The sequence below is a fragment of the Homo sapiens genome, chromosome 20 (assembly GCF_000001405.40).
Source record: "Homo sapiens chromosome 20, GRCh38.p14 Primary Assembly".
Classification (NCBI taxonomy): domain Eukaryota; kingdom Metazoa; phylum Chordata; class Mammalia; order Primates; family Hominidae; genus Homo; species Homo sapiens.
The window spans coordinates 17,222,512-17,249,513 of NC_000020.11; the positions used below are offsets into that span (position 1 = coordinate 17,222,512).

The 27,002-nt window shown below is 41.4% G+C and overlaps 1 protein-coding gene and 1 long non-coding RNA gene across 4 annotated transcripts in view; one reads left to right on the forward strand and one right to left on the reverse strand.

The window, feature by feature from the left end:
- The first annotated feature begins 3,595 nt into the window (after positions 1 to 3,595).
- PCSK2 (proprotein convertase subtilisin/kexin type 2) overlaps positions 3,596 to 27,002 on the forward strand; it is a 258,472-nt gene continuing 235,065 nt past the window's right edge. For 2 of the 3 annotated variants that reach the window (NM_002594.5, NM_001201529.3), the window contains exon 1: positions 4,529 to 4,971. In NM_002594.5, the coding sequence (NP_002585.2) occupies positions 4,795 to 4,971 (177 nt within the window). In that variant the 5' untranslated portion in view covers positions 4,529 to 4,794. Of the gene's footprint in view, positions 3,869 to 4,528; positions 4,972 to 27,002 lie in introns of those variants that run through there. The other variant, NM_001201528.2, reaches the window with a different exon arrangement.
- The window catches only part of LOC105372546 (uncharacterized), a 94,422-nt gene continuing 77,385 nt past the window's right edge, over positions 9,966 to 27,002 (reverse strand). The window contains exon 5 of the long non-coding RNA XR_007067540.1: positions 9,966 to 10,057. This is a non-coding gene — a long non-coding RNA (uncharacterized LOC105372546). The remainder of the gene's footprint in view (positions 10,058 to 27,002) is intronic.

A 27,002-nucleotide genomic window follows, 5' to 3' on the forward strand; every position in this document is an offset into this window, starting at 1 on the left:
TGAGCAAACATTATTCTGTAGTCCCGTAGACCTGAAAAGGAATCTAAAGATAGTGAATAGCAATGTGTTCCTAATTTTCAAAAGAAGATTAAAAGGGCCGCTCGTCCTCATTGTTTAGCTGCTTCAAATCCTATCAAAATAATAGAACCTAAATTAGCAAAAGAAGCAAATTTTCACTGTCCTGGAAAATAAGGAAGTGAGAAGTAGCTTTTGTTTGTGAAGAGATGATTGGTCTGAGTAAATTGGATGACTTTGATGAAATTACAAAAGGAATATAACCCAAAGCACTGTAGATTCAATACTTTGATAATAATAAACACTTGAAGCCATATAAATTCTCTTCACTATATTAATTTAAGATGGCTTAAATAATAAAAATCAGCTGAGAATTTTCAACTGAAGGAAAAACAGAGATAGGTTATTTAAGGAAAAGATACAAGTTGGTGAAAGCTATAGGAATTGGAGGTAGGACCAACTGAATCACAGTGATTTAGAAGTGGGTGCATACTGAGAAACTAAAATTTCCCAAGTATCTGAATTTTTAGTTATAGCAAATGTGAGAGTATATGTAAATACTAGAGGAAAATGAGGTGAGTTCTTGGAAAATAAGAATAGTCTGGTGGAAAAAAAAAGACTTGATCAATGCTGAGTTCAAAATTGGGCAAAGATCTGTAAAGTGGTAACGATATTTCAGAAAGCCTGCATATGGGCTGGAATGGAGGGAACAGACAGGGCAGGGTCTTTAGGAATAATCCATTGAAAGGGTTGACAGTCAATATGGTTTGGCTCTGTGTCCCCACCCAAATCTCATCTTGAATTGTACTCCCATAATTCCCACATGTTGTAGGAGGGACCAAGTGGGAGGTAATTGAATCATGAGGGCAGTTTCCCCATACTGTTCTCGTGATAATGAATACGTCTCATGAGATCTGATGGTTATTATAAGGGGGAGTTTTCCTGCACAAGCTCTCTTTTTTTGCCTGCTGCCATCCATGTAAGACCTGACTTGATGCTCCTTGCTTTCTGCCATGATTGTGAAGCCTACCTAACCATGCGGAACTGTAAGTCCAATAAACCTCTTTCTGTTGTAAATTGCCCAGTCTCACGTATGTCTTTATCAGCAATGTGAAAACAAACTAATACAACAGTACAATATGACAGTAGAGAATTGTTCCTACCTGATTAATGTACCATTACTGCATTTAAAATGTTTGCAATGAATGCAGCAAAAATGGCAAAGCCCAACCTGATTTTTAACAAGGCTGTATTTTAAATTGTGATTTTCAGTGGTATATACCCTATTTCTCTCCAGATTACACATCCCACACAATTGAAGAGAAATCAACAGAAAAATTAGATCTTTCTCCAGTAGTCCAAAGAATATTCAAAGGTTTGGGGGACTCTCCTACGGCTGCTTCTGGCTTGCTCTGTACCCCCAGTGGTAGGTTTTCCTTGGCATGATGCTCTATGAATCCAAAGTTCTCCTTTTAGAAGTACATCTAAATGTGAGTATCCCAATCATGCCTCAGGTGGTTTTGGTTTTTTAAAAAATCACCCAAGGTCTCTTGATTTCTAGTATTAAGCCATAAAATGGGAGAGTTCTAGTCTTGTTTTGCAGGACAACATCTTCAAAGAGACTCTGGGGGCCTGTGGCACATCTGAGCCAGAACCAAACACCCGACGTCATTGTTACAGATACAAAAGTAAATAAATGAAAAGAAGCTCCAGGTATTGGTGATTTTTATATCTCGTGCTGTCAATCTGTTTGTGTCAGTTATTATTTTTTCAAGTACACAAAACTGATAAATATGAGACCATTTGGGGGAGGTTACACAAAAATAAGTATGCCTGTTGGCCACAATATGTTATTAAATAGTATTGTGGTCCTCAGCATTTCTCAAACTATTGATGATGCTTCCTACATTACAGCGTATGTTTTCACAACTCTTTTGAAATTATAGACTTTGGCTCTGAGGTATCTAATCCAACAGTCTCTTTTCACAGATAGAAAGATAGAGACTTTGAGAGGTGCAATATGTTGGCCCACAGCCAAGTGGTATACATACCTAGTACTAGCAGAGCCTGCAATAGGGTCCCTGGCAACAGGCTTCTAGGTCTATCCTCAAAATGTGCTGCTGCCATTCTCTCTACTGTCCACCTTGACTATTGTTATTGGAAAAAGGAGTTTGAGAAATAGTTGTCTAAAAGAGCAATTTGTGTGCACACATGGGTGTGTATTAGCATTTCAAATAACAATGTATCAATAGATATCCAAGGGATAAATACATTTCCTCTTCCACTTGCTTACTACATTGTTGTGTATTGAAAATTTAGTATTTGAATAACCAAAAAAATTATCTTTCCATTTGCTATTCTGTCCTGACAATATTATGATGAGCTGTATTTTATGTAAACCACTAAAGAGGACTTATTTTAATTAGTCATTCAGGTTTTATATCATTTCTGGCCAATTTTACACAGTTTTAGTTATTTAAAATGTAGCTATATGAGATTCAACATTTACCAGCATTTCATATTTGGAAACTATTTAAGAAATGAAGTGGCCAGGCGCAGTGGCTCACGCCTGTAATCCCAGCACTTTGGGAGGCCAAGGCGGGTGGATCACAAGGTCAGGAGATAGAGACCATACTGACTAACACGGTGAAACATGAAAACCTTGTGTTATAATCAAACGGATGGACTATGAGGGGGTAAGCTGTTAAACAATAGAGTAATAGAAAGGGGGAACAAAGGCAGAAATGAGCCTCTGAGCAGTAGTGAGCTGAGGGGCCCAGAGTTGATCTGTTTCCCTTTATTAATACTTTCACCGTGTTAATACTTTTCCAGAAACCTTGCCTCCACCATGGCCCTAAGTCCTAACAGATAGCTTAATTTTCTTAGAGGAATTCAAATAACAATAATAAATAATGTCACATAGACTTCTAATGTTTTAATAAAAACCTTCAGCAACGCCCACATTTTTACGTGACAATTTTTTAAAGGGCTATGAGGGAGCCAACTATGTCAGCAAACAGACATGCTCTGAAGACAGGGTGGTCCATGGCATTCAAAGTGTATTCATTTCTACCGATGGTGCTTTTCTTGCATAGGTTCTGACTTGTGTAGATTTGGACTTCAAGCTAAAATAAAAAGAGAGGAATATGTGTATACATGAGAATGTGTGTGTAACGTGTCGATGGTATAAATAGTCTCTTCCTCTCTCTCTGAATTGCATGCACTTAAGCCCCTAAGAAAAGATCTCTTACCTCTTATCTAAGTAAAGCAGAATTTTGAGCTTTGAAGCTAAATGATACAATGAGATCAGTGTAAATACTCTTTAACACAACAATATTTGAGTAGCTTTGAAACAGTCGTCCTCATTTCGTTACATACAGAACGTTCGTGCTTCCTCCCTCTCAGGCAAGAAGCGGAGTCCGTCGTCAGCAGTTAGCAGAGTCCAGTGCGAGTGCACGTTTCTTAACCGGATAACTTAGTTGCCCCTGCCCCCCGTCGCTGCGCCCGAATTCGCCTCCAGTAGAAGACGTTCAGCGGGCGACTTGGCCCGGCGCCTGGGATCGGTGGCTATGCGTTCCCCAACTAGCACCCTCGCTGTCCTTGTGCAGTGGAACGTCCCCAGGTCTGAGAATGCACCTCCCGCCGTGTCCACCCCGGCCGCGTCTCTCCTGAAGGCAGATCTTGGAGGTGCAGCCAGGACTCCTAGAGGAGCCTCCTCCAGTCACCATCGCGGGTGGGGCGAGCCGGGTCTCCTGCTGGGCTTCCCAGCCGCTTCGCTCCGGACCTGCCTGGAGCCTACAAAAAACAAGGGCTCGTCCTTGCACTCTCGCCCCCCATGGATCACCCCTAGAAGGTGCTTTCCCCAACCCTCCTGGTGCCAAGGAGAGCAAACCTCCCCGGGGATTTGCCCAAAGTGGTGGGAGGAGGGTTAATATTTGCTTTGTTATTCGGATAAGGGGAGGCAAGTATGCCTTGGGTGTGTGTGTGTGTGTTTGAGAGAGAGAGAAAGAGAGAGAGAGAGAGAGAGAGGTGTTTTTGCAGCGGGAAACAAGCAGGAAGAGGCACAGAGGCCGGCGCCCCTGCTCCCCTCGGGGCCTCTGAGAGCGGCACACACCGTAATTCCCTTCCCAGAGCCTACAGATTCCCACAAACAATGACATCACTCCGCCGCCGCTGGCCTGATTACAGCTGGGGGGATTTTCCTGGGCGCGCGGCGGGCCAGGCTGAGATGGGGGAGCTCTCCGGTGCTGAAAGGGGCGGGGGCGCGGGCTCGCTGCGCTGCGCTGCGCTGCGCTGCGCCCCCAGAAGGCGGAGGCGGCCGGGCCGGGCCGGGCCGGGGGTGGGCGGGGGCGGGCCCGGGGCGGCCCAGGGCGGGGCCCGCCGCTTCCCCCGCCCTCATTGGCCGCTGGCGGACTCACGTCACCCGAGCTGGTGCTCTCCCCCAGCCCCTAGGGAATTGGAGCTGAGGAGGAGCTGAAAATGCAGATTTAGCATCAAGCACAGACCTACACTCGCTCTTTCTCTCCGGTACACACAGCTCCCCACATTCGCACCCCTGCCCGCGCGCCGGGCCGCCTGACTGCACGGCTTCCCCTCCAGCCAGATGCTGGAGAACACACACTGATTCGCTGCTTTCCAAGACCCTGTTCAGTCTCTTTCTCTATACAAAGATTTTTTTAAAAACTATATATAAGAATTCTTTATTTGCACCCTCCCTCCGAGTCCCCTGCTCCGCCAGCCTGCGCGCCTCCTAGCACCACTTTTCACTCCCAAAGAAGGATGAAGGGTGGTTGTGTCTCCCAGTGGAAGGCGGCCGCCGGGTTCCTCTTCTGTGTCATGGTTTTTGCATCTGCTGAGCGACCGGTCTTCACGAATCATTTTCTTGTGGAGTTGCATAAAGGGGGAGAGGACAAAGCTCGCCAAGTTGCAGCAGAACACGGCTTTGGAGTCCGAAAGGTAAGCTCTCCCATGCATTTCGCATGTTGTTTCAAAACGGGGGGACGGGGGGGCAGCCCTGCGCAATCTCATTGCAGATTTGCAAGTTTTCTCTCTTTCTCATGCGATGCAGATATTCTGCCATGGGCTCTTTAACACGATATTGCCTCCGGTGATCTTTCACCGGTTATGTAATTAAAATGTCCTTCATCTGTACTAGTAAGGTCATCAAAATAATTTACTGCTCTTTGACTTGATGGCGAAAATAGGATAACACCTTTCACAGGATGCCATGCTCCGGGGATGCTGTCCGAGGTACCAAGTTCTCGAGGCTGCCTGGGGATGGAGGGATGAAGCCCTGAACAGCTAAGCCTGGCGTTGGCTACTTGGCCAGGGAAGTCTCCCCCACCCCCATCCCCCGGAGAAAGAATAGTTTCCTACAGACGAGGCTGGACGTTTGGACACTGCAATTCACCTCGGTGTTTCTCCCACCCCGCGCCGGGAGGACTTCCCTCCCAGGGACTTCGGTCCCTGCTCCTCTCCGGGAACAACGGCTTCCTGACTCTAGATTTGGAAAGAAACTGGTCTCTAAAATCGGGGCGGAACTTCTGCGCCCTCACCCCCGCCCACGACCGCCCACCCCTGGAGCGCACTTCTGGTTGGCTCCCTAGTTCTCAACTCCCGGCTACAGGAGCTGGAGAGGTGGATTTTGAGGGGGATTCCCTACGGAGAAGTCGAGGTGTCCTCTCCTGATGCGTGGGCGGCCAGCCTGGCTTTCCCACTAGAGCGTGGGGATCCCCATTCCAAGAAGTTGCCAGAGTTCGACAGTTTGAGCAGATAGGTGAGCCTCCCAGCTTTGGACACCTTGGATCTCCTTTGGAGACTCCAGGGTACTCATCCTGGGAGGACAGAGAGAAGGGCGCTGGGTGGGGGCTGTGGCTGACCTGCGTGTCTCTCCTGCAAAAGATGTATCAGGGTTCTCCAGTGTCCTTAGGGGACCTGGCGCAGGCTGGGGTGGAGTGTGGGTGCAGAGAGAAGGTGGGGCGAGGGGAACCCAAAGGACAGAGATGTGGCTACCAGAGGGCTGGGTGGAGGTCCCTGAGATTTTAGGCTCCATCTCGCTCCTGATCCCAGGAAGAGAGAGGAGTGAGATGAGCGGTGGGTGCTTTTGGTTATTGGTTTTGCCTTGAAGGGCCGCGCAGACCGAAGCTCTTATTAGTCTCTTCTGTCCTGACTTCCCAAGCCTCCCGCCTCTCTCCCAGCCACCGCCAGGGCTCCTCCAGGTGTGGGGGCCTCTCCCTCCTCCTAAGGGCGTAGGCAGTACCGGAATTTCGACCCCAGAAGGGTCTGGCGACGAGTTTGACAGAGGTCTGGGAAGAGGCTCTGGGTCCGCCGGTGGCGCGCGGGCGGGTCTTGCGGAAAGGAACTTGTTGCTCTGGAAAGCGTGGGTGGAGCAGGGGAAAGAAGGCGCCGGCGGAGGGAGCACCCCGCTGTGGTTTTGGCCCGTGGCCTGCCGGCTGTTTTGAGAGACACCAACACAATAAAGAAGCCGACCTTCCTTCTTCACTCCCCCCCACCCCAAACTTGGCAAGACCCAGGACCCAAACGCCATTATAAAATATAATAGTGATTATTATTAGTTATACGGAAGCTTACGTGCTGGAGTCCTTACATAGATTTTTACTTAATCTTCTCAACATCTCTGAGGAGGCTACTATCATTATTGAGCCTATGGCCCCGTTGAGGAAATTGGTTCAGAAAAGGGTGCGAGATAAAAACAGGCAAGGGCTTCAATCCAGATCTTTCAGAAGTGAACCCATGCTCTTTACTCCTTAGTACCCACCCAAGCAAGCTAGGTGCTTTCAGGGGATGTGGGGCATTGAGATAAGTTGAAAAGGGATTTTAATTCTTGAGTGTGATCTTGCTGCAGAAACCTGTGGCTCCCTCCCCCTCCCCCACACCTTTTCATGGGTGCGGGGGAGTGGGAGGGAGCCATAGGTTTCTGAAAACCATTGTTCTCAGTGGTTTTCTCTTCTCTTTGCTGCCCCCTTTGAAAATGTGCCCTTAGGATCAGAGATCAGATAACTAGGCCTCTTTGTCCTTCATTCTTTCTTGGAGAGGAGCACACTGATTTTGCATCACAACCTGAAACCTGCAGTTCCCATCTGAGAGACCTCTCTCCTTACTTCTCCATAACCTCTCAGGTAGTACCCCACAACCAAATCCAGTGATTTTTTTTCCCCTTTTACACGTTTAAGTAACAGGGACTGCCTGGTGCAACATCTGCCTAGAATAAACCTCCTTTTGGATCCATGTCTTGTCCATTCTTCAAGACCTAAATTCAAACCTTTCCTGATGCTACAGACCACAGTGAGCTTTCCCTCCTCCAAATTTTTATGCGACTGATAGGCAAACACTGCACTACATAAGCTAATAAATGCCATCACTTTTCCTCATTATTTCAGGTATATAAGTAAATATGGGTTCAGTTGTTGTATTTCTACTTAAAAGGTAAATATTCAGGGATGATACCTCCTATATTTCTCATTTCCTCCCTGTAACCAGCACATTACTGTTTTGCCAGCCTTGAAGGAAACTTCCTTGTCTGTATTTATTATCCCAGGTTTCCCAGACACCGTCCTATCTTGCTTTCATCATACTGTTTTGTACTTTTGCCAACATTTGTTATTGTGCATCTTAGAGGCCCTTATGTCCTTCTCCTTCCTTGCTCTGATGCTTAGCATGCTTCCCAACTCCCTACTGCTCCCTGCTCCGAGGCTCAGTGTCAGACACAAAAGATTCTCAGTGGTTATTTATTCATCCATATGAAAGGTCAGCAATGGAGGCTAGAAGAACATGCTTTCTTATTAAATTATCTCATTCTAAGCTCACAAATCTATGAGAGAAATTACTGGCATCAGCTGTAATTCTCAGATGAAAACCTTAAGGCCTTGAGAAGTTAAGTATCTGCTTATATCTGAGAAGTAAAAGAACTCAGACTTAAAACCAAATTTGCTTAACTGAAAAATAATTGCTTTTCTACATCATGCTGCCTCCAGGAAGCCTTCCCTGACTGCCAAGAACTCTTCCCTTGAGACACAATTTTAGAGCTCTGCTATTTTCCCTTTTCTTTTTACTTTTATTATATTTATCATTTATTTTCTATTAACACATGAACATGTCATTAGCTAATGGGTACGTGTATTTATGTCTTCAGGTAGACTATAAATCTTCCAAGAGGAGAAATGACATACTATATCTTTATATAGTCTCCATATCTAGCATGGTGGCCTGTATATGAATATTTAATTGTTTGTCAATTATTTGATTGATTCTTATAAGACCATGAACAAACATTTGTTTTCTCTCTAAAATGAAATAAAAGCACCTATAACTTTACCTCTGAAAAGGTTATGGAGATTAAAGCTTTCTATTTTATCATGACCTGGCCCTGGCCCAAAGACCTATGTCTATCAGAAAAGATACTTAAGTCTAGGAGAGTGAATGAGTTTACAGTAATGACAAAAGCATTATTCCAAAGAGTGCCTTAAAATTCTCAAAATGCTACTAATTTTAATTGATTTGAAACAGAAAACAAAAATTATTTATTGAAGCAACCTGTTGAAGATTAACCAAAAATCAAGTGAGAGTTAGGGTTTAAAAAGAACCTGATATTATCCTAGGGGTTTCATTGTATTATGGTGTGTTTTATGTTTTATCCACAGAGGACAGATGCTGAAATGATTACACAAGTAAAATCATGTGACCATTTTTATAATGTGTGAGAATTTTTTAATTTTGAAAACAACCTAATAATCATTATGCTGCCAGGTAGTAAAAAATTAATAAATTTCTGGTCGCTTCACTTTTATTAAAGTATAATTTAGGAAAGAACACAGCTTAGGGAATTTTCACAAACTGAGCACACATGTGTAACCAGCACCCAAATCAAGAAATAAAATATTACCAGTATCCCTAAGTCCTTTTCTCACTCACTTGCTTTGTTTTCAGGTTTTAGCTATTATAAATATAGCTTTTGTGGATATTAAAGTCTACGTATTTTGGCAAACACATATATGGCCTTCTACAGGGAATCCTAGAAATGGAATTGTTGAGTAAAAGGATATGCATGCATACAGCTTTATAAGACCATCAGTTTTCTATTGCTGTGTATCACTAAAAAACTTAGTGGCCTAAAACCACACAAGTTTGTTATTTCACAGTTTTCATGGGTAAGGAGTCTGGCACATTTTAGTTGGGTCCTCTGCTCGAGTCTTCACAGGCTGAAATCAAGGTATAGGCTGCTGGGTCCCATCTAGAGGCATGACCAAGAAACAACCCTCTTCTGAGCATTTTCACGGCTTTAAAGGAATTGAGTTTCTTGTGGTTTTAGACCTGAAGTCTTTATTTTCTTGCTGGCTGCTGGGCCAGGACCACTCTCATCCCCTGGAGACCTCTCCATAGCCCTCTCACACCTCACCCTTCAAATATCTGCCTTCAGGAAGAGCCCACTCTCCTTGCAAGGTTAACCTGATTCGTTCAAGCCCACCAGGATTGTTTTCCTTTTGGTTCTTCTGATGAACTCAGAGTCAACTGATTTAGGACTTTAATAACATTTGATAAATCTCTTCACCTTTGCGTAATCTAATCACAGAAGTGAAATCTATCATCTTCACAGTCCCACCTAGGCTGTCCACACTCAAAAGGAAGATGATTACATAGGGCATGTACATCAGGGAGCAGAAATCTTGGGGGCCATCTCAGAATTCTGCCGGCTACAGACAAACAGCCACATGGCTTTCCTAAGTAGTTATACCAATTTACATTCCCTTCAGCAGTATGTGAGAGTTCCAGCTGCTCCACATTCTCACCAACACTAGATATTTTACATCTGTTTTCTTTTAGCCATTCTGGTGGTATGTAGTAGTGTCTCATCGTGACTTTAATTTGAATTTCCCTGATTATCAACTGAAGTTAAACACCTCTTCATATGCTTATTGATGATTTGGATATCCTCTTTTAAACACATTTGTTTCAGATGCTTTGTCCTGAAAAGTTTTTCTTTTGGGTTGTCCATCTTCACTTTTTATTTGTAGGATTTCTTTACCTATGATGGATAGAAATTTTTGGTCAGATATATGTATTTTGAATATTTGATACCACCCATTTAATGATATCGTAATGTCACAACAATGTTCAATCCAGATTATATGCTTTTACTTCTACTTTGTCAGGCAGCCAATTGTAAGTCAAAGGAAGAATTATCTTGCAGTATTTCCACATCCCCTATCCCAAAGTTCTTTAGATCAAAATTGACAATATTTGGAGGAAAAAAATAAAAACAGCATATAGATTTGATCATAAGCATTCCCTGAAAGATTTCAATCTAAGAAGACTTTAAGGGACAGTTCTTCTGGAACTAAAAGATTTTCCACAGTAGCTAAGGGAAAATAGCAACCTGTAACCTTGCTTCCCTAGACATGGCTGCCATTCATGTTGTGCCTTAGATCGAATCCAAGCTAATCCCTCAAGACCTGTCTGGTTGACCTAGACCACAGTGTTCTCTATCCATTTGGTGCTTTGATGATGTATAATCGATTCCTTTCCCTGATACCAGTCATAGCCATCAGAACGCTCACTGTCCCCAATACACCTCTTGTGGCTGAAGAAAATGAGGAACAATAATGTTGAAAGGTAAAGATGACAGGATTTGGAATCAGATAGCACTGGAAACTTGGCTAGGTTACTAAATCTCTCAGAGGCTCATTGTCTTCTGAAAATGGTTAATAAAATATGGTGGCTGTGAAAAATAAATAATGTAGTTAGTGCATGTAAAGTTCTGGGCACAGCACTGAGTGCATAGGATAAAATAGCTATTACTGCAGTAGTAACAATAAGCTGGTTGTGCACTAGTGACACTCTTTTCCTCAAAAAAGTAGCTGTGGGTTATACTTGTGAGGGAGTGACAACTGATTGAGTAAGGAATAGGAACCCAGCCCAGCAGCAATCCACCCATGGGCTAGTCATGACCCATGAGATGACCTGGCCCAAATTCAGTAAATTTAATTCATTATAGACCATGGTAATTATCTCAGCCAATTATACTGGATTCCTCAGGAAATCTGACTGGCTAGTTGCTCTAGAGAGGAGAATGCAGTACAGTTACCATGAGAAAGCCCATTCAGGCCATGGGAAACTCAGACATTTTATCTAAGTTTCTAATAGCTTTCCAACCCCAGTTTCCAGCAAAAGACGCCTGTAACAGGCTGAAGAGCTAAGCACCAGATTCATTGCTCCTTCTTCATGGGCTGCAGCAAGACCACATTTCCCAGCCTGCCTTGTAAATAAGCGTGATCATGTGACAATTCTAGCCTGTGTAATGCAAGCAGAAGTCATGTGTACTTCTTCCATGCCTGATGCATAAGAATTCTCTATCGATTGTTTCTCTGTGTTCTGCTCTCCTCTGGGGCTTGATGTAATTGAGAACAGTACATTTTGACACCAAATGCCAAAGCAGCATCACAAGATGAAAGGAGCCCAGGTCCCTGGTCCGTGAATTAGAAGACCTTATATGAGTGAGAAATAAACTGCTATTACATTAAGACACTGAGATTTGGGAGTACTGCCCAAACTAATATGCTGTCAGTAAATATCCCTTTGCTTAAGTTGCTAGAGTGAATCTCTAAACCTCGAAGGCAAACCGAGCCAGATCACAACAAAAATTGTTCCAAAGTTCTGTGAGAGCACACATATTTTCACAATATACTACCAAACAACTTTTCAAATATTTGTGATTTGTCTTCTCCAGCAACAAATAGAACCCATTCTACACACTGTTCTTCCTGCTGGCAACCAACGTGCCCTACTCATAATAGGTGTTTAATATGTGCTCCTTGACTATGACTACAGTTGGACCACAAGGTGGTGATTTGTCCATAATCTCAGGTTGAAGGTGCTGGAAAAACTATTTTTTAAGAAACTGTTCCTGTAGAATCCATTTCTCTATAGGCAGCCATTCAGCTAGGAAATAGAATTAAGTGACAACCAGCAAGTGGGCAACTGGCATGCTTCTTTGTTTCTCTAAAATTCCCCAACTTCGATATTATCAGTAGTAGAACAGATGAGCTCTTTGAACAAAGAAAGTAAAGTCTGCAGTTACAACCTGATCAAAATCCAAAAGAAGGGAAAGAGGGGAAATACACCTTTTTTTCTCAATTGAATGAATATCTAGAAATCAATTTCTATTTCAGAAGGTCTTATTAGCTATAGATCATAACGTCATAGCACATCAGATAGTGATGCTATAGTTAGGTTCACAATAATTATATATTCCACTCAAACTAACTGCTCAAAGAGGTCTGGCTTTAAGAATAAAACATGAAATCTGAAGTTCAATTTTTCATTGAGTTCAGATCCAACGTTTCAAAAAGAAACTCTGTGCTGAATTTGTGAATTATTATTTGAGATACAAATAATCACGGGACAGCTCAAAAACTGACATTTCTATTTGACTTTCCTTATTAAGGTGTATTTATTTAGCTAAAGTCCACAAGTGATTAAGAAGTCAAGAAATTACATCTGAGTCAACACTTCAGTCTGAAATGTATAGTTGTGTATTAATGGATGGTTTATATGCGAGACACATATGAAAATAATTTAACTGCCTTGACAATTTTTTGTCACTGAAGCTAATTTGACCACAACTTTTTGGAAATTGTTGTGATGTGCTGAGATTGTCGATAAAAATAATTGAATAAAACAAGTTCTTACATTGAAAGTAGAACAATGACACACTCTTAATTTCCTGACATAAAGTAGACTTCAGACTGTTACAGCGTATTGGCAGTTTCTCCATTAGAAAATTGACAAGAATGGGGAGAAAACTGTAGGATCCTGGGGTTGCTCTTTGTTTACAACTTTAAATTTGACATTAACTTCCATAAATATCCAATTGTTCTCCTAGTTTTTCCTAAATAGATTCATTTCATGCTCATTTTGTATCAAAGGCAAAAGAGTCCAAAGAAAAGTGAACAATATACAGAATCACTATTGGAAGCATCAAGAACATAAAGATAATAACTTAGGTTTAAAACATTTGCAAAGTGTTGTAAGTCATTAGAGAAAAAAGTTTTGACCTGGAATATTTGGGTTTCACTCTTCTAAAGTTTTAAGTAGAGGGCAAAGAGATGGTCAGCCTTGCTTTCTGTGTAAACACAGTGTCTGGCAAAACTAAGTCTACAGGAAATATTTGTTGAATGAATTACTTGATTGATGTTGGTATTAGATGTAGTAGACAATTGAATATCTTTCCTCTTAAGATTTAAACAATGACACACACAAACAAAAAAGTGAATCCTTCCATTTGTGAGATGGTAAACATCTCAATGTCAAGACAGTATTTTTACACATTGCAATATTCATGAATACCGTGAGTGGACATAATCAAATTAAATCACGAGATAAGTTAGGAACCCTGATAATATGAAAAATGTAATAACTTTGATATTTTTGTCAGAATCACTCATCATTATTTTAAAAAATACCAAGTAATAAAAAAATACAAGAAGGTCTTTTTTAATTATCTCAAATCTCATTATTCAGAAATAACCATTACCAGCTTTAGATAAACTCTATTGCAGATACTTCTGTATGAATATGTATAGAGAGAAGAGAGATATATAAATTGTTTTATAGAGCTGAGATCTCATCATATGTGCTATTTTAAGTTTTAAATCATTCAGTTTAATTATTATAAAATTTAACAGAAGAGAAAATCAAAAGAAAACTATGGAAATTGTTAAACTTCAGATAAATATGCTATACAAAGGAGATATTATTTCCTAATATACCTCCCTAAAATTCATAAGAAATTATTGTGTCTCATATTTAGGAGTTTGTAGTTACATATTTTATACATACATGGTAGATAGGTTACATATATTTAATTACATGTTTACTTATTTAATTACATAATTCAACTTTTGTGAGTTATGGACTCAGTGCTTTGTAAAATGGGGAAATTAGCATCCTGACACTTTCTCTCAGCTTCCCTACTTCCACATTCCAATGTTTGTTAGGTATATCATTATTTTTGCATTGTGTTACATATAAATATTAACCTTCTACTAATAACCATAATTTATAGTATTGCTTATATTAGTTCTTTCTTAAAATTCTAATGTTACCACAAGTCCTTTTATCAGAACTTCAATTACAAATTCATTTTTATTCATCTTTTGAGTAGCTAGGTTTTACTGAAACATGAAGAAATTAGCCTAAGCATGAAAAAGGAGCTGTCTCAGTTTCAGATTAAAGGGGAAAAAATTGGCAGGGGAAGTCCTGTTTTTAGGTCACAGAGGAGAATGTGGTGATAATATCCACTTAGGAATCACAATTATTTCAGAGGATTAAGAGGCAAGGTCAATGTTCAGAGGGAAGGAAGAGGTGTTAGGATGGGGGCTTCAAGGAGATGGAAGTTCAGACACTGCTAGTAGACATGAGAGAGGGAGTGGACAAAGGACAGATCATGATTTCTGGGCAGTACTGCAGAGGCAAGTGGGAAAGAATGGATTTATGGTGGCACCAGCAGACATCTTAAGAATGTCTTAAGCAACATTCAGATTAGGGTTGAGAGGTGAGAGAAATGGAATCTTCCAAATAATAGAGTGTCAATGAAATAGAAGAATAGGTAAATTGGAAATAACAGTGAGAGAGATGAAAGGGAGAGAGCTATGGTTGGTGAGTGGGATATTGAAGCTCAAGGCTCCAAAAATTGAGCACTTCCAGATAATGATGAAGTTCATGGAAGTGAATTATCAAAGTAAAAAGGAGATGAAGGTGATCAAGACACTAAAAGTAACATGCACAAGGATTTGTTCACATACACCTCATTCATGCTATGGCAAGAAATAGGATTGTCAAGGAAGACTGTTGAGAGAAAACAAAGCGAAGTCCTAGGACAAAATGTTGGAGAACTTTGGACATGAAAGGAGAAAGAGGAACCAGGAGAGGAGTCAGAACTTGGACGGTTAGAGATATGGAAAAAGAATCAAGAGCACACAGGCCTGTGAAAGGAAAGGAGGAGAGAGTTAAGAAGGAAAGAAGGAAGCAACCTCAGCCACTGGTTTTAGAGACAAAGTCATTGTTGAAATAGGAGGAGTCACCCTAGCACAGTGGAAGAGGAGACGAGTGTTAATTTGGGTCCCCAGATGTAGGCCCTGGAATAAGGACTTAAATGCAAGTAGTTTACTTAAAGAGTGATTCTACAAAATACTGGTAGAGGAGTGGGGAATTGAGATAAGGAAAGGAAGGCAGGAATAAAGGGTACATCATAAAGCAAGTTGTCACTGTGGGTAACTGGAACTCAATCCCACTGGAAAACTGGGAGCTGGTGTAGAATATGTGCTTCAGAGTTATCCTGCCTGAGGGGTGAGGAAGTTGGGGTATTTATACACGCATTGCATTGACATATTAATTAATGATTGAGAGTTACTCCAGGCTGATGTTAACACTCCAGCATTTTGTCCTGGCATATGCTCAGACAGAGCAGAATTTGGCCATCCAGAAAAATACTTGCAAACAGATGCAGAGGCTGGCACCCACAAAATGGTAAGGCCTATCCAAGAGGATCTGAGTGTGAAAGTAAACATGTCTGCTACAGGAAAAAAGCCCAATCATGAAGGAAAGCATCAAGTGTGATGAAGTGGAGGTACCAAATATAGACCATCCCTTCAAGAGGTATAGTGGTTAAAATAGAAAAATAGTGTTACAGTCACTTGATGTGGTTTTAAAGGTATTTATGAATTAATAATTTCTTAGCACTTGTCAGACCACTGGAGATTGCTATCCCACCAGAATATTGTGACATACCTAGCCAATCAAGTCTGCATTACTCTAACTGGTTTTTCCAGTCATTTACATTTTTACAAATGATAATTATAATTATGAAATTACAGCCTTTCAGAACAGGAAGGGATCCTAGAAAGACATTAATTTAACCCTTCATTTAATAAATGAAGGAAATAAATGAGGGAAAGGGCATCGAACACTATGTTTGTATGCTTAACTATTCCAAAAAGCATTTGAGCCTTGTTGCTCATTGGCGGTGGTTTAGACAATGCATTATTGATATCACTGAACCAGCTTTCCAGACTGGATGAGATAGACAACTAGATTGGGTGAGACTCCTATAAGTGATTAGCCACATACACCAACTTGGTCTGACCATACTAATTCATTTCAGGTCCTCCTGATGTGCTTTTTTGGTTTGTTTTTTTACCATTTTACCCGTAGAATTTTTATAAATTCTGATTTTCCAAACAAAGCTATTCATAGACTCAAGGATTCCACACCAACAACCATTGGGTTTACACTTGGTAAAAGACAGAATAGGAATTTATACTTCCTTGACTACTCCCTTAGTGACTAAACAGTGCTATATATTTAGTAAGCACTCAATAAATACCAAAATAAATACTGAGAAAAAAATTTAAAGGCTTAGCATCATCATTAGATTTTCACTGCACACCCAGCCGATGTCTCATGAGATGGTGCAATCAGGAAAACCAAGTATGCTAGGAAGGGTTATAGGAACATCCTATTTAGTGCCTGTGTTAAGTGGATTTCCTTAATTGCCCTTAATAGCCTAAAATTTTGTGACTTAATCATTAAGAATCCAGTGACAGAGGAGAATAAGGTGACCCACAAATCCTATTCCTCTTTGCCTTTAGCTTCTCCTCTATTTCTGTGGGAAGAAAAAATATCACTTTTATCAGGGCACCACCAATTCTCTTCAGTGATGATGGAAGCTCAAACCCAAGAAGGTAGTTGACATCCAAGAGTCAATTCTAGTCAGTTCCAGCTGACTATGTTTCTAGGAACTGTCAGCCAAGAATGGGAGACCAAGAGAGACCTTGAAGAACCTAAAATGTGGGAAGAAGGATGGGAAACAAGCCATTTGTGATCTCTTGAAGTTCAGTAGCAGCACTTTAGGCAGAGGAGAAGGGACAGGGATCCTTGGAGAGTTGTGTCTTAAATGAGGTTTGTCATTAACCCAAATTTGGACCCAGCAGCCGAAGCCAGAAACAAACCATTCTGGCCATAAACTAGAAAATGAGGAGAGGACCAAAGAAGAGTTATGGGAGTTTCAAGCCAATGGACCAAGAAATTAGCAAGAGCTACAGTCATACCACAGGGACGTATAGAAGGAGAAGATTATTAAGGTCATTCAACAAACATATACTGAGTAAGTTCAGTAAACAAACATAATGCAACACACTAAGACATGGATTTGGGAACAAGTAAGCAACTGGGATTCAATCTTACTGGCCTAAGATGATTCCAATAGATAGATGAAAAATCAAACCCCAAGGTGAAAACACTTTTTTTTTTTTTTTTTTTTTTTTTTTTTGTGAGATGAAGTCTCACTCTGTTGCCAGGCTGGAGTGCAATGGCGCGATCTCAGCTCACTGCAACCTCCGCCTCCCGGGTTCAAGTGATTCTCCTGCCTCAGCCTCCCAAGTAGCTGGGAGTACAGGCGCACACCACCATACCCAGCTAAATTTTGTATTTTTAGTAGAGACGGGGTTTTACCATGTTGGCCAGGATGGTCTCGATCTCCTGACCTCGTGATCCACCTGCCTTGGTCTCTCAAAGTGCTGGGATTACAGGCATAAGCCACTGCACCTGGCCCATGAAAACACTTTTTAAGTCTCTGCTTGTGTTGCATTTACTAAGTTTCATTGGCCAAAGCAAGTCACATGGCCAAGTTTAGAGTCAGTGTGGGAGGAGACTAACCAAGGGAATGGATACAGGGAGATATGAACAAAACATGGATCCAATTTCCTACTACAGGCCCCTCTGACAGTTACAACTTATCTGTGTTGTCCCATCAAAGGGTGAGGAGGCTGGGATGTTTAACCTCCAGCTACCATTTCTTCTTGGTTGATGGTTGCTCCTGGGGAACTTCAAATCTCTCATACTTCTGCCTGCTGTAAGTAGACCAAGCATGCTTCCACTGCCAGAGAACACCCTCAGGAGAGCGGTGCCTGAAAGACATTGGCATCTGTATGTACTCTGTACAGGTGACCTCCAGGGTGGACCAAGGGAAGGCAGGCAGTGCATCAATATCATGTGCTACACAGAGGACCTAAAGTTACATAAAATTGAGGTTCGTCAGAGGCTAGAAAGAAACAGTTTGTGAGTGAGGCTGTATGTCAGATCCCCTCTACGTGTCTCATTACCTAGGTGTCACTCTAGACTTGATATAAATCAGTGGTTCAGTCTTTAGGGGGTACATCATAGTTTGAATCCCATTGTGGACTGTTAGCCCAGCCCTAAAATAGTTGGTGTTTGTGGCTAATCCCTCATAGGAGTGTCACACAATCTAGTTGTCTGTCTCATTCAGTCTGGAAAGCTGGTTCAATTGTATCAACAATGCATTGTCTAAACCACAGCCAGTAAGCAACAAGGCTCAAATGCTTTTTGCAATAGTTGTTAGGCACATAAACATAGTGTTTGATCTGCTTTCCCTCACGTATAAAATGAAGGGTTAAACGAATGTCTTTCTAGGATCAGTTCGCGCTGATTACAGACAAATGGGAGTGCTCCATGTAAACAAGTCCAGAAAGTTTTTGTGATAGATTTAATATATAGTGCATGTGAGGCCGTGACTGTCAGCAGAAGGAAAGTCTTCACAAAGCAGGCAATAATACATTGAGGTAAATTTACAATGAGGCTTATAATTTCAAGAGGTTTAAAGGAAGAGGTTTATAAAGAAAACCACAGGATGTGCAATGAAATGGGCACGGTTTTTCGGAGGATTGCAAGTAGTTTTGTCTGTCTAGATGACAAGAGACTGGGAGATGAGGCCAAAGAAGTGACCTGGGGTCAGTTCATGACCAGTCACCCATACTATGCTGAGGAATTTGGATTTTGCAGGTAGGTGGAAGGAGGCATCGAAGGGTACTTGGGAAGTGTGGCAGGATGGCCACATACAGGACATCCTAGGATAAGAAGTTGAGCTAATAGTGACTTGGAGAAGCCTTGATCTCTGCCTGGTTTCTTTGTCCTGTGGAATCACTAATTCTGGCAACAAGTAGCACATCATTTAATAGATGATGCCACTAGGAAGTCAGGTTATATGTCTTTGATTCCATTGTCACTGGATGATGGCATCAGTGATACTAATGGCTTGATTAATTATTGTCCTTGTAGTCACACTGAACGGCTGGTAGAGCAGCCAGTTCTATCCATGAAGATTAGTCCAGCTAAGAACAAAACAATTAAATGCACCTCCCCTGACATATAAATATATGAATGCAGAACAAATCCCGTAACTTAGAAGCCAAGAAGAAAAGAAAGAACAGTGGTGTATCACCATGATCCTAGCTCACCTAATAGGCACATTACTCCCTGATATTCCAAAGAAATAATGCTCATTTTTAATTTTTTCTTTCTGGAATGATATATGGAAATGTTGCCTGAGGCTAGAAAGAAAGTTTGTGAGTGAGGCTGTATGTCAGATAACCACTACCTGTCTCATTATCTGGGTGTCATTCTAGACTTGATATAAAACAGTTGTTCAGTTCTTAGGGGGTACATCATAGTTTGAATCCCACTATGGACAGTGAGCTCAGCCCTAGAATAATGGATAACCATGGACAACACAAGCTGCTTCATACTGTTTTCCTGCTTATGGGGAAGAGTGGATCCTGGAATTACAGAAGAGAATTGAGCATTATCCGTGGAGAACAAATGCTTAGGAATGGCATAGGAGTAGGCAGGGCTGGCTTACAGCCAAGTGTACTGAGTGCTAAGTCAGTGACTTACCCCTCTCTCCCCTAGTTTCCCTTCCACACAGCCTCTTACAAATCAGCTAATTACAGAAGAACATTCATACATGAGTTCTTATTTTATTAACAAGTGTGTGTTGAGCCCTATGAAGATGAGGCACATTGAAAGGGGTTGATTCTACAGACAGAAAGATAACAGGTTCAAGTTTATGCCCAAGGACAAGCACACTTATAGTTCTATAGTTCTATAGTCTAGTTTATAAGAATTCATACAATCTGAGGTCTCTATTTTGCTATTGCAAATGTCTACTTTATGTGTTGGGGTGTGACAAACTGTTTTAGCAATTGGTCTCTCGTTCTAAATGCAAAGGACCTTCTCAGACCATGCTAACCTGGTGACACATCCTAATAAGTTGAGGCTGAATGAGATCTTTTGTCACATCTGGTTACTCAAAGACATGATGTCCTCACTCCACAGGCCTTGTGCTATTGAGAGAGGAGCTGAAGTCACACATAAATAATTTAGGCTCCTCCACTGCATGAAAAGCATCTGTTTAAGGAGCTGTCAAGCTGTCCACCTCTCTAGTGAAATCATATTTACTTTATTCATCTAAATAATGTGGCTTGTTTGCCTTCTGTGTGAAATTGTCTTGCACTGTTTCTCATTGGTGGGTTTTATGGGACAGCATATGATTTTCTGTGCATCCATATGCCACTCTACCTCTGGGAATGGAATGGCTTCTTGTTCAGTAGTTTTGATTATTATAGCCCTTTATAGCTTATGAGTCATTGGGTTTACTCAAAATGTCCAGCTCCTCATTCTCATTTTTTTCTCTATGGCCCAGCCATGCCCGTCCTGAAAAATTTTTAAAAAGGAATAATAAAAATAAATAAATAAAAGTCATGTACTCTATATTTCATTTCCAATGAGTTGCTTCTTGTTTGGGTAATTTTTTATTGTATTAGAGACAAGGCCTTACTCTGTCACCCAGGCTGGAGTACAGTGGTATGATCATAGTTCACAGCAGCCTCCAACTCCTGGGCTCTAGTGATCCTCTCACCTCAGCCTCCCAAGTAGCTAAGACTACAGGCACACACCACCTAATCTGACTAGGTTTTTATTTTTTCTAAAGACAAGGCCTGGCAATGTTGCCCAGGCTGGTCTCAAACTCCTGGGCTCAAATGATCCTCCTGTCTCAGCCTCCCAAAGTGCTGGAATTACAGGCCACCATACCTGGCCTTGTTTGGATAATTATAGCAATAGGAGTCCACCGAAGTAAGTTGTGTTTTTTTAGTTATTTGGCATTCTCACACTTGGATGCTCAGAAACATGTGAGCAAATAGCACTGAATGTACCCACAATTATGTCTTGTGCTCAGTTTGTAAGTCACTATTACGTAGGTGAGACCAGAGCAGTTACTGTGAAGTGGAGGTAGCTGCATTTAAGACTGTGAACAGCGCATCAAGAAGCACACACCACAACGTGTGTAATGCCCCTGCCATGATACATCACTTCAATCTAATGATGAGAAAGCAGATGATCCCAATTGAGAGACAGTCTGCAAAATAACTGGCCTGTACTCTTCAAAAGTATTAACGTCATAAAAGAAAGACAGATAGACTAAGAAACTCTTCCAAATTAAAAAAAGAAATGACAACCACATGCAACATGTGATCTTGGATTGAACTTTGGGCCAGATTTTTTATTTTTTTTTCCATAAAGGATGCTATTAAGACAGTTGGCAACATATCAGTGATGTCTGTAAATTAGAAAATGATATCACATTAGAGTTAACTTTCTGATGTTGATACTTATACTGCCTTGTTCTTAGAAAACACACACACACCATCTACAACTTATTCTCAAATGATTCACCAAAGTAATACGTATATGTAGGAAAATAATTTTTTAAATGCAGTAAAATGTTAACAATTGGGGACTCTGGGTGACATGGCTATATGAGTTATTTTCACTATTCTTGCAACTTTTCCATAAGTCTGAAATTATTTCAAAAGTAAAAAAATTACTGCTAAAAGAAAAAATGTGTACATTGATGCAAAACTAACATTGAGGTCTCTCCCTCTATGAAATAGAGCTGGGTTAAACTTTGTCACCAACAATGGGTTTCTGTCCCAGCTCTGCCACTATAGAGCAGTGTGACCACATCCACATAATTCAACTTTTTGAACCTCATTTTTCTCATCTATGTAATCCAGATGTCAACTAGAAATACCTGGACCCTTGAGATGTAGATAAGATCCACTCAAATCCCCATAATGTACCCTGTAGAAGTCTTAACCCTTCCCAATATTCCTTTAAATTCTAGGAGTGGAGCTAGATTTTCGTTTTACTTCTGGATACAGTTTTCTACTTCTACCAAAACTTTCCAGTTAATAAATTATGTCTCCTTCCTACCCAAACAATCATTCTTCACAATGGTTACTCAAGTGTAAAATTCAGCCAACTCCCTTGATTTCCCTTCACCAAAAAACTCTTACCATTCACCCAAGGCATCTGTGACTAGAATGTATTTTCCTGAAGATGTCACAGGTGCCAGGAGGGGATTTATGTTGCAAACACAAAGAACTTTAAGTAAGCACTTGCTTTGAGGAGTCATTTCATCCCCTCATCACTGGGCACGGGCGGTGGCCTCTTCCTGCCCAGCCTCACATTTCTTGCCAGATCCTCGCCACCTTCTTTTATCTGCCCCTTGGTTTCTTTAGTATCTCCTCCTCTCATGGGTGTGGGCAGATTCTTCCCAGGCAGAGCAGGTCAGATCTCCTTGCTCTCTAGGCACCCATGACCTCAGGTACCCACCAACCATCACAGAATTATCCCAAATAGAGACAGTTTCCTCCCGAAGAAGAGCTCAGATGATTACATTCTCACCCTCAGAGTCTCTGCAAAGTGAGACATAGTGCTAGATACACGTGGAGGTCATCTCCAGTGGAAATATGCTGAGATTCTATGAAGTGCACCTGCTTTAAAAAAATGGAAATTACTTTTTCAAGCAGACAGATATCAAACACAAGTTCCTTTCCTCTAGCCTTGTTATCTGTGTGGAATTTAATAGGGTACCAATAAGGTTTCACTAACAAATTACACTTTATACGACCTTGCCAAATGCAGCATTCTTGTGGGTTATTCTAGCTTTTTAAAGGGATATCTTGCTTGTGAAGATACTAGCATGTAATTTTCTAGCTTAGACATCTACTTTTCACCCCCTTTTCTCCTTTATTTAGAAATAACTCTGAACCCAAAGCTGATGTTTGGGAGTAGTTAACTTCTTCTCTTGTTTTCTATAGCTGCTCCAAAGAGCTTGGACCTGACTACAGACCAAAGTAACAGAGAATGCTAGCCTCATCTGTAATTGATAGGATTTTTTTTTTTGCTAGAATATCTGAGAGTATTTTTACCTCGTGTTCAATCTCATGAGTTTCTTTTCATTCCATATCTCTTATGATGTGCCTTCTGTCTTGTGCTTAGCAGAGTCCTAGACAGCTCAGAGCTAACAAGTGCAATGTGCATCACTCATTGGATCACAAATTGAGTTTGGCCAGCACAATGCTTTCAATCTGTTTGACTTGTGGAGGAGCACGTACCCTCCAGTTTACCACAATCCTCACCACTTTCTATTGTCTTTTACCTGATTCGCTTAGTTAGACAGCCTGCTTGACCCCCAATATATTAAATGTCTTACCAATGCCCAAAGAACTCCATAACCTTAGTCATCCACACTGAATAGCACAACTACTTAATAACTCTTGCTAGAATCTAGAACCTCCTGATCTTTTTAATTTACTCAGCAGGTATCTATGACATGATACTCTGCACCTAGGACATGAGCAAAACCGGTGTTGTCCCCATAGAGCTTGCAATCCAGGCATTCCGAGGACTGTGTTCTGAGAGATAATTCTTTCCAGCATACCAAGATAATTTTGAAAGATGAATATTTAGGCAACATGTCAGTACCTCAATTTTCTTTTTCATTTAAGATTCTTCTGCTCCCTACTACTGTATTCGAAACCAGCCTAGTGGATGGCTCTTCCTATAAGCAAGAACTATTTCCTTACTATAAAGTGTGTACAATCCACTTGGCTGTGGGTTGGAGCGGCTCTATTAGAATTGACTGGGGATATTCAGTTGGAGGTTGACAATGAGAACACGACAAGGCAGATGATCAGAGAAATTACAGTAATTACTCACAATCAGTCTTCGATAGTAAGTCACAAAATTAAAAAGGAGAATGTAAGTCACAAACGTAAAAAGGAGAATGTAAAAGTATGAACCAAGAGAGGTTCCATGTTCCTGGTTTAACAGTGGAATAGTAAATGCAGGATATCCTCCAGAAAATGCCTGAATGAATGGTGCCTCTACTCTCTGCTATGGAAGTTAGTTGGGTCCAACGCATTCCATGGGGGACGTGGTCCAAAGTGGACCTGAAGAGTGTGGTCTGTCCCCTAGTGGTCCTAGGCTGTCAATCAGACTATCCCATCCTTGCCTGGGAGAGCAGCTGTTGTTTCACTGATGATAAATAATTCTGCTTGAAAAAAAAAAAGTGGTTTCTCTTTAGTGATGGAAATAGATACTTAATTTGTGTTTTAGATTAGACATAGTCACTCTTATGTTGTTGATAATTAAGAAATAAAATCACTCTGGAAGTTGTTCTTCTCTCTCCCTTTGCTCTGAAGTTGAAACTCAGGCCTGTCTATTAGGTACCTTTAGAATTATCACTGAGATCATTTTACCTTGCACACAATCCAGGGAAACCAGTAATCATCTCTGGGCAGATATCAGTAATGTGCAAAACCCATTTCCTACTTGACTTGGAAGGAGAAAGAAATGTTAGGAAGAGTGAAAAATGAATGGGGAAAAAGAACACATCAGTTCTTCTCCACATGGTCTCTCATCCTCCAGCAGCCTACCCCAGACCTAAATTCAAATGAGCTTCCCTTTCTCTCCCATCCCTACTCCTGGGCATCATGTTCTGCCTATAAGAGATTGCATGCAATTGAAGGAAATAAAGAACGGTCTCTGAGAAAGTCAATAAAATGCAGAGCTTATCCCTGTTGGTAAAATTCAGGTCCCCAAATGAAATGGACAAGCAATTATCAACTGAGCCAGTTTTCAATCCTTGGTGATTGTTTCGTCTGCCAGTTTTTGTTTCTTAAACCTCTTGACAGCAGTCCCTCTTACAAATAAAATTATAAAAATCCTATATAGCAAATGATGTCCAGTGTTCTACCAAACTAGATCCCGACTAAGCCTGACTGAGGACCATGAAAACCAGCACAGTGGACAAACACAAAGAAAGCAGCCAAAGGAAAAGTGAAGAGTCTGATCCGGGAAGCCTTAACTGTTCTGAGGGTTCTGAATCCATTTGAGAATCTGTAATAAGCAGTAGACTCTCCTGAGAACAAGCGAATGCACAGATGCACAAAATTTGGAATGGAGGCCATGCCAAGGTCACAGACCCTCTGGAGCATCTACAGATTCCCTAAGGGAAGAGAACTCTAGTGTTTAAAAGAAGCAGGAAATAGGCTCCATGAGAATTTAACACTTCTTTTTATCTGTTCACAATTGGTTGCCAGTTCCCTGGAGTTCCCTACTGCTGGGAAAATGGAGTGTGTGGGTTCAGAGAGGTGCTATAGCTTGGAGCCATAGTTTTCAATGGGAAAAGGAAGTAAGAGGAAAAGAAAGAAGACAATGAGAAGTGTTGCTGAGATCCATACATTTTTGTGGCATAATGAGAATTTCTAAAAACTCTGCAAGTCTGACTTAGCAGCATTATTATACTGTCACCCAGCCTGAATCTTCAAGCTGACAATTTGCTGCGAGTTCTTCATTCACTTCTTTTTCTCCTTCCTTCTGGAACCATGCATATTTTGCCTTAAGAGAACAAAGTGATGATATAAAAAAGGGTGTGTGTGTGTGTGTGTGTGTGTGTGTGTGTGTGTGTGTTTCAATGAAGAAAACATTTCAAAACATACTAAATGCCCGCAGTATGAGAGGCTTCTTACTAGGATACTCAGGTGAATGTTTGGGAATCTACCACTGTGTTCAATATGTCTTTGCTATTTGCAAGATTTGCAGTCTACTTAAGAATCTCAGGAATGCATCGATCAGCCTTACATCCTTGAGGTCTGTGTAGGCAGCAAGTACCTTATACTACTGTAAGTCACATAGCATCTGTCTTTCTCTCCCTGCGGTGGAGCTTATGATTGCACAAAGCTCTTAAGCAGCTGCTTCTCAGATGCTCAGAAGACAGTGGATCTTGGGTCTGCACTCCAAAAGCAAGAGACAAAAAAGGCCCAGAAAAATAACCAATGCCTACAGGTTAGTCTTTTGTTAGGTTCATGATCAGTCAATTTACCTGTTTATTGCATAAGAGTAAGCTCGTCAGAGGTTCAAATTTTAGCTTTATGAGACCAATTAGCTCCATTTTCTTTCATAGCCAAGAAAGAATCCCAAAGAATCCAGACTCAAGGGTCCCAAGATCACAGCAGTGGGGATGTCACCCATCAACCTGGCTGTCCTTGAGTCCCACTCATCTCCATCAGGAATTCCAGGCCAAAATCTCATGGATTCCTAGTCATGGTTACAAAGGGGCTGGGACGTAGAGTAGGACCACCACACAAGCAGTGTGGATTTACACTCAGGAGAGCTGGGATTTCTGCAGAGAGCTCCCATTCATCTGGTCAGGCCCTGGCACCCCCTGAGCCACAGTGTCTTCTCTAAAAAAATGAGGCAGCTAGACCAAGCCAGGTATGCAACTCAGTAGCCTAAGGTAACACAACCGTGGAAAGGGAGCTTAGTGTGTGACCATAGGAAGTGCAGGGGTAGGTGGGTTCTGATTTGAAACTAGGAAATACATGACCTTTCTGAGGTCATTCAAATTTAAATTTTAAAATATTTTTACATTTTTAACTTGCATCTTGGAAATAATTTAGACTTTAAAAATGTTGCATTAAGTCGGGCGCGGTGGCTCACGCCTGTAATCCCAGCACTTTGGGAGGCTGAGGCGGGCGGATCATGAGGTCAGGAGATCGAGACCATCCTGGCTAACATGGTGAAACCCCGTCTGTACTAAAAATACAAAAAAATTAGCCAGGGGTGGTGGTGGGCGCCTGTAGTCCCAGCTACTCGGGAGGCTGAGGCAGGAGAATGGCGTTAACCTGGGAGGTGGAGTTTGCAGTGAGCCGAGATCGCGCCACTGCACTCCAGACTGGGAGAGAGCGAGACTCTGTCTCAAAAAAAAA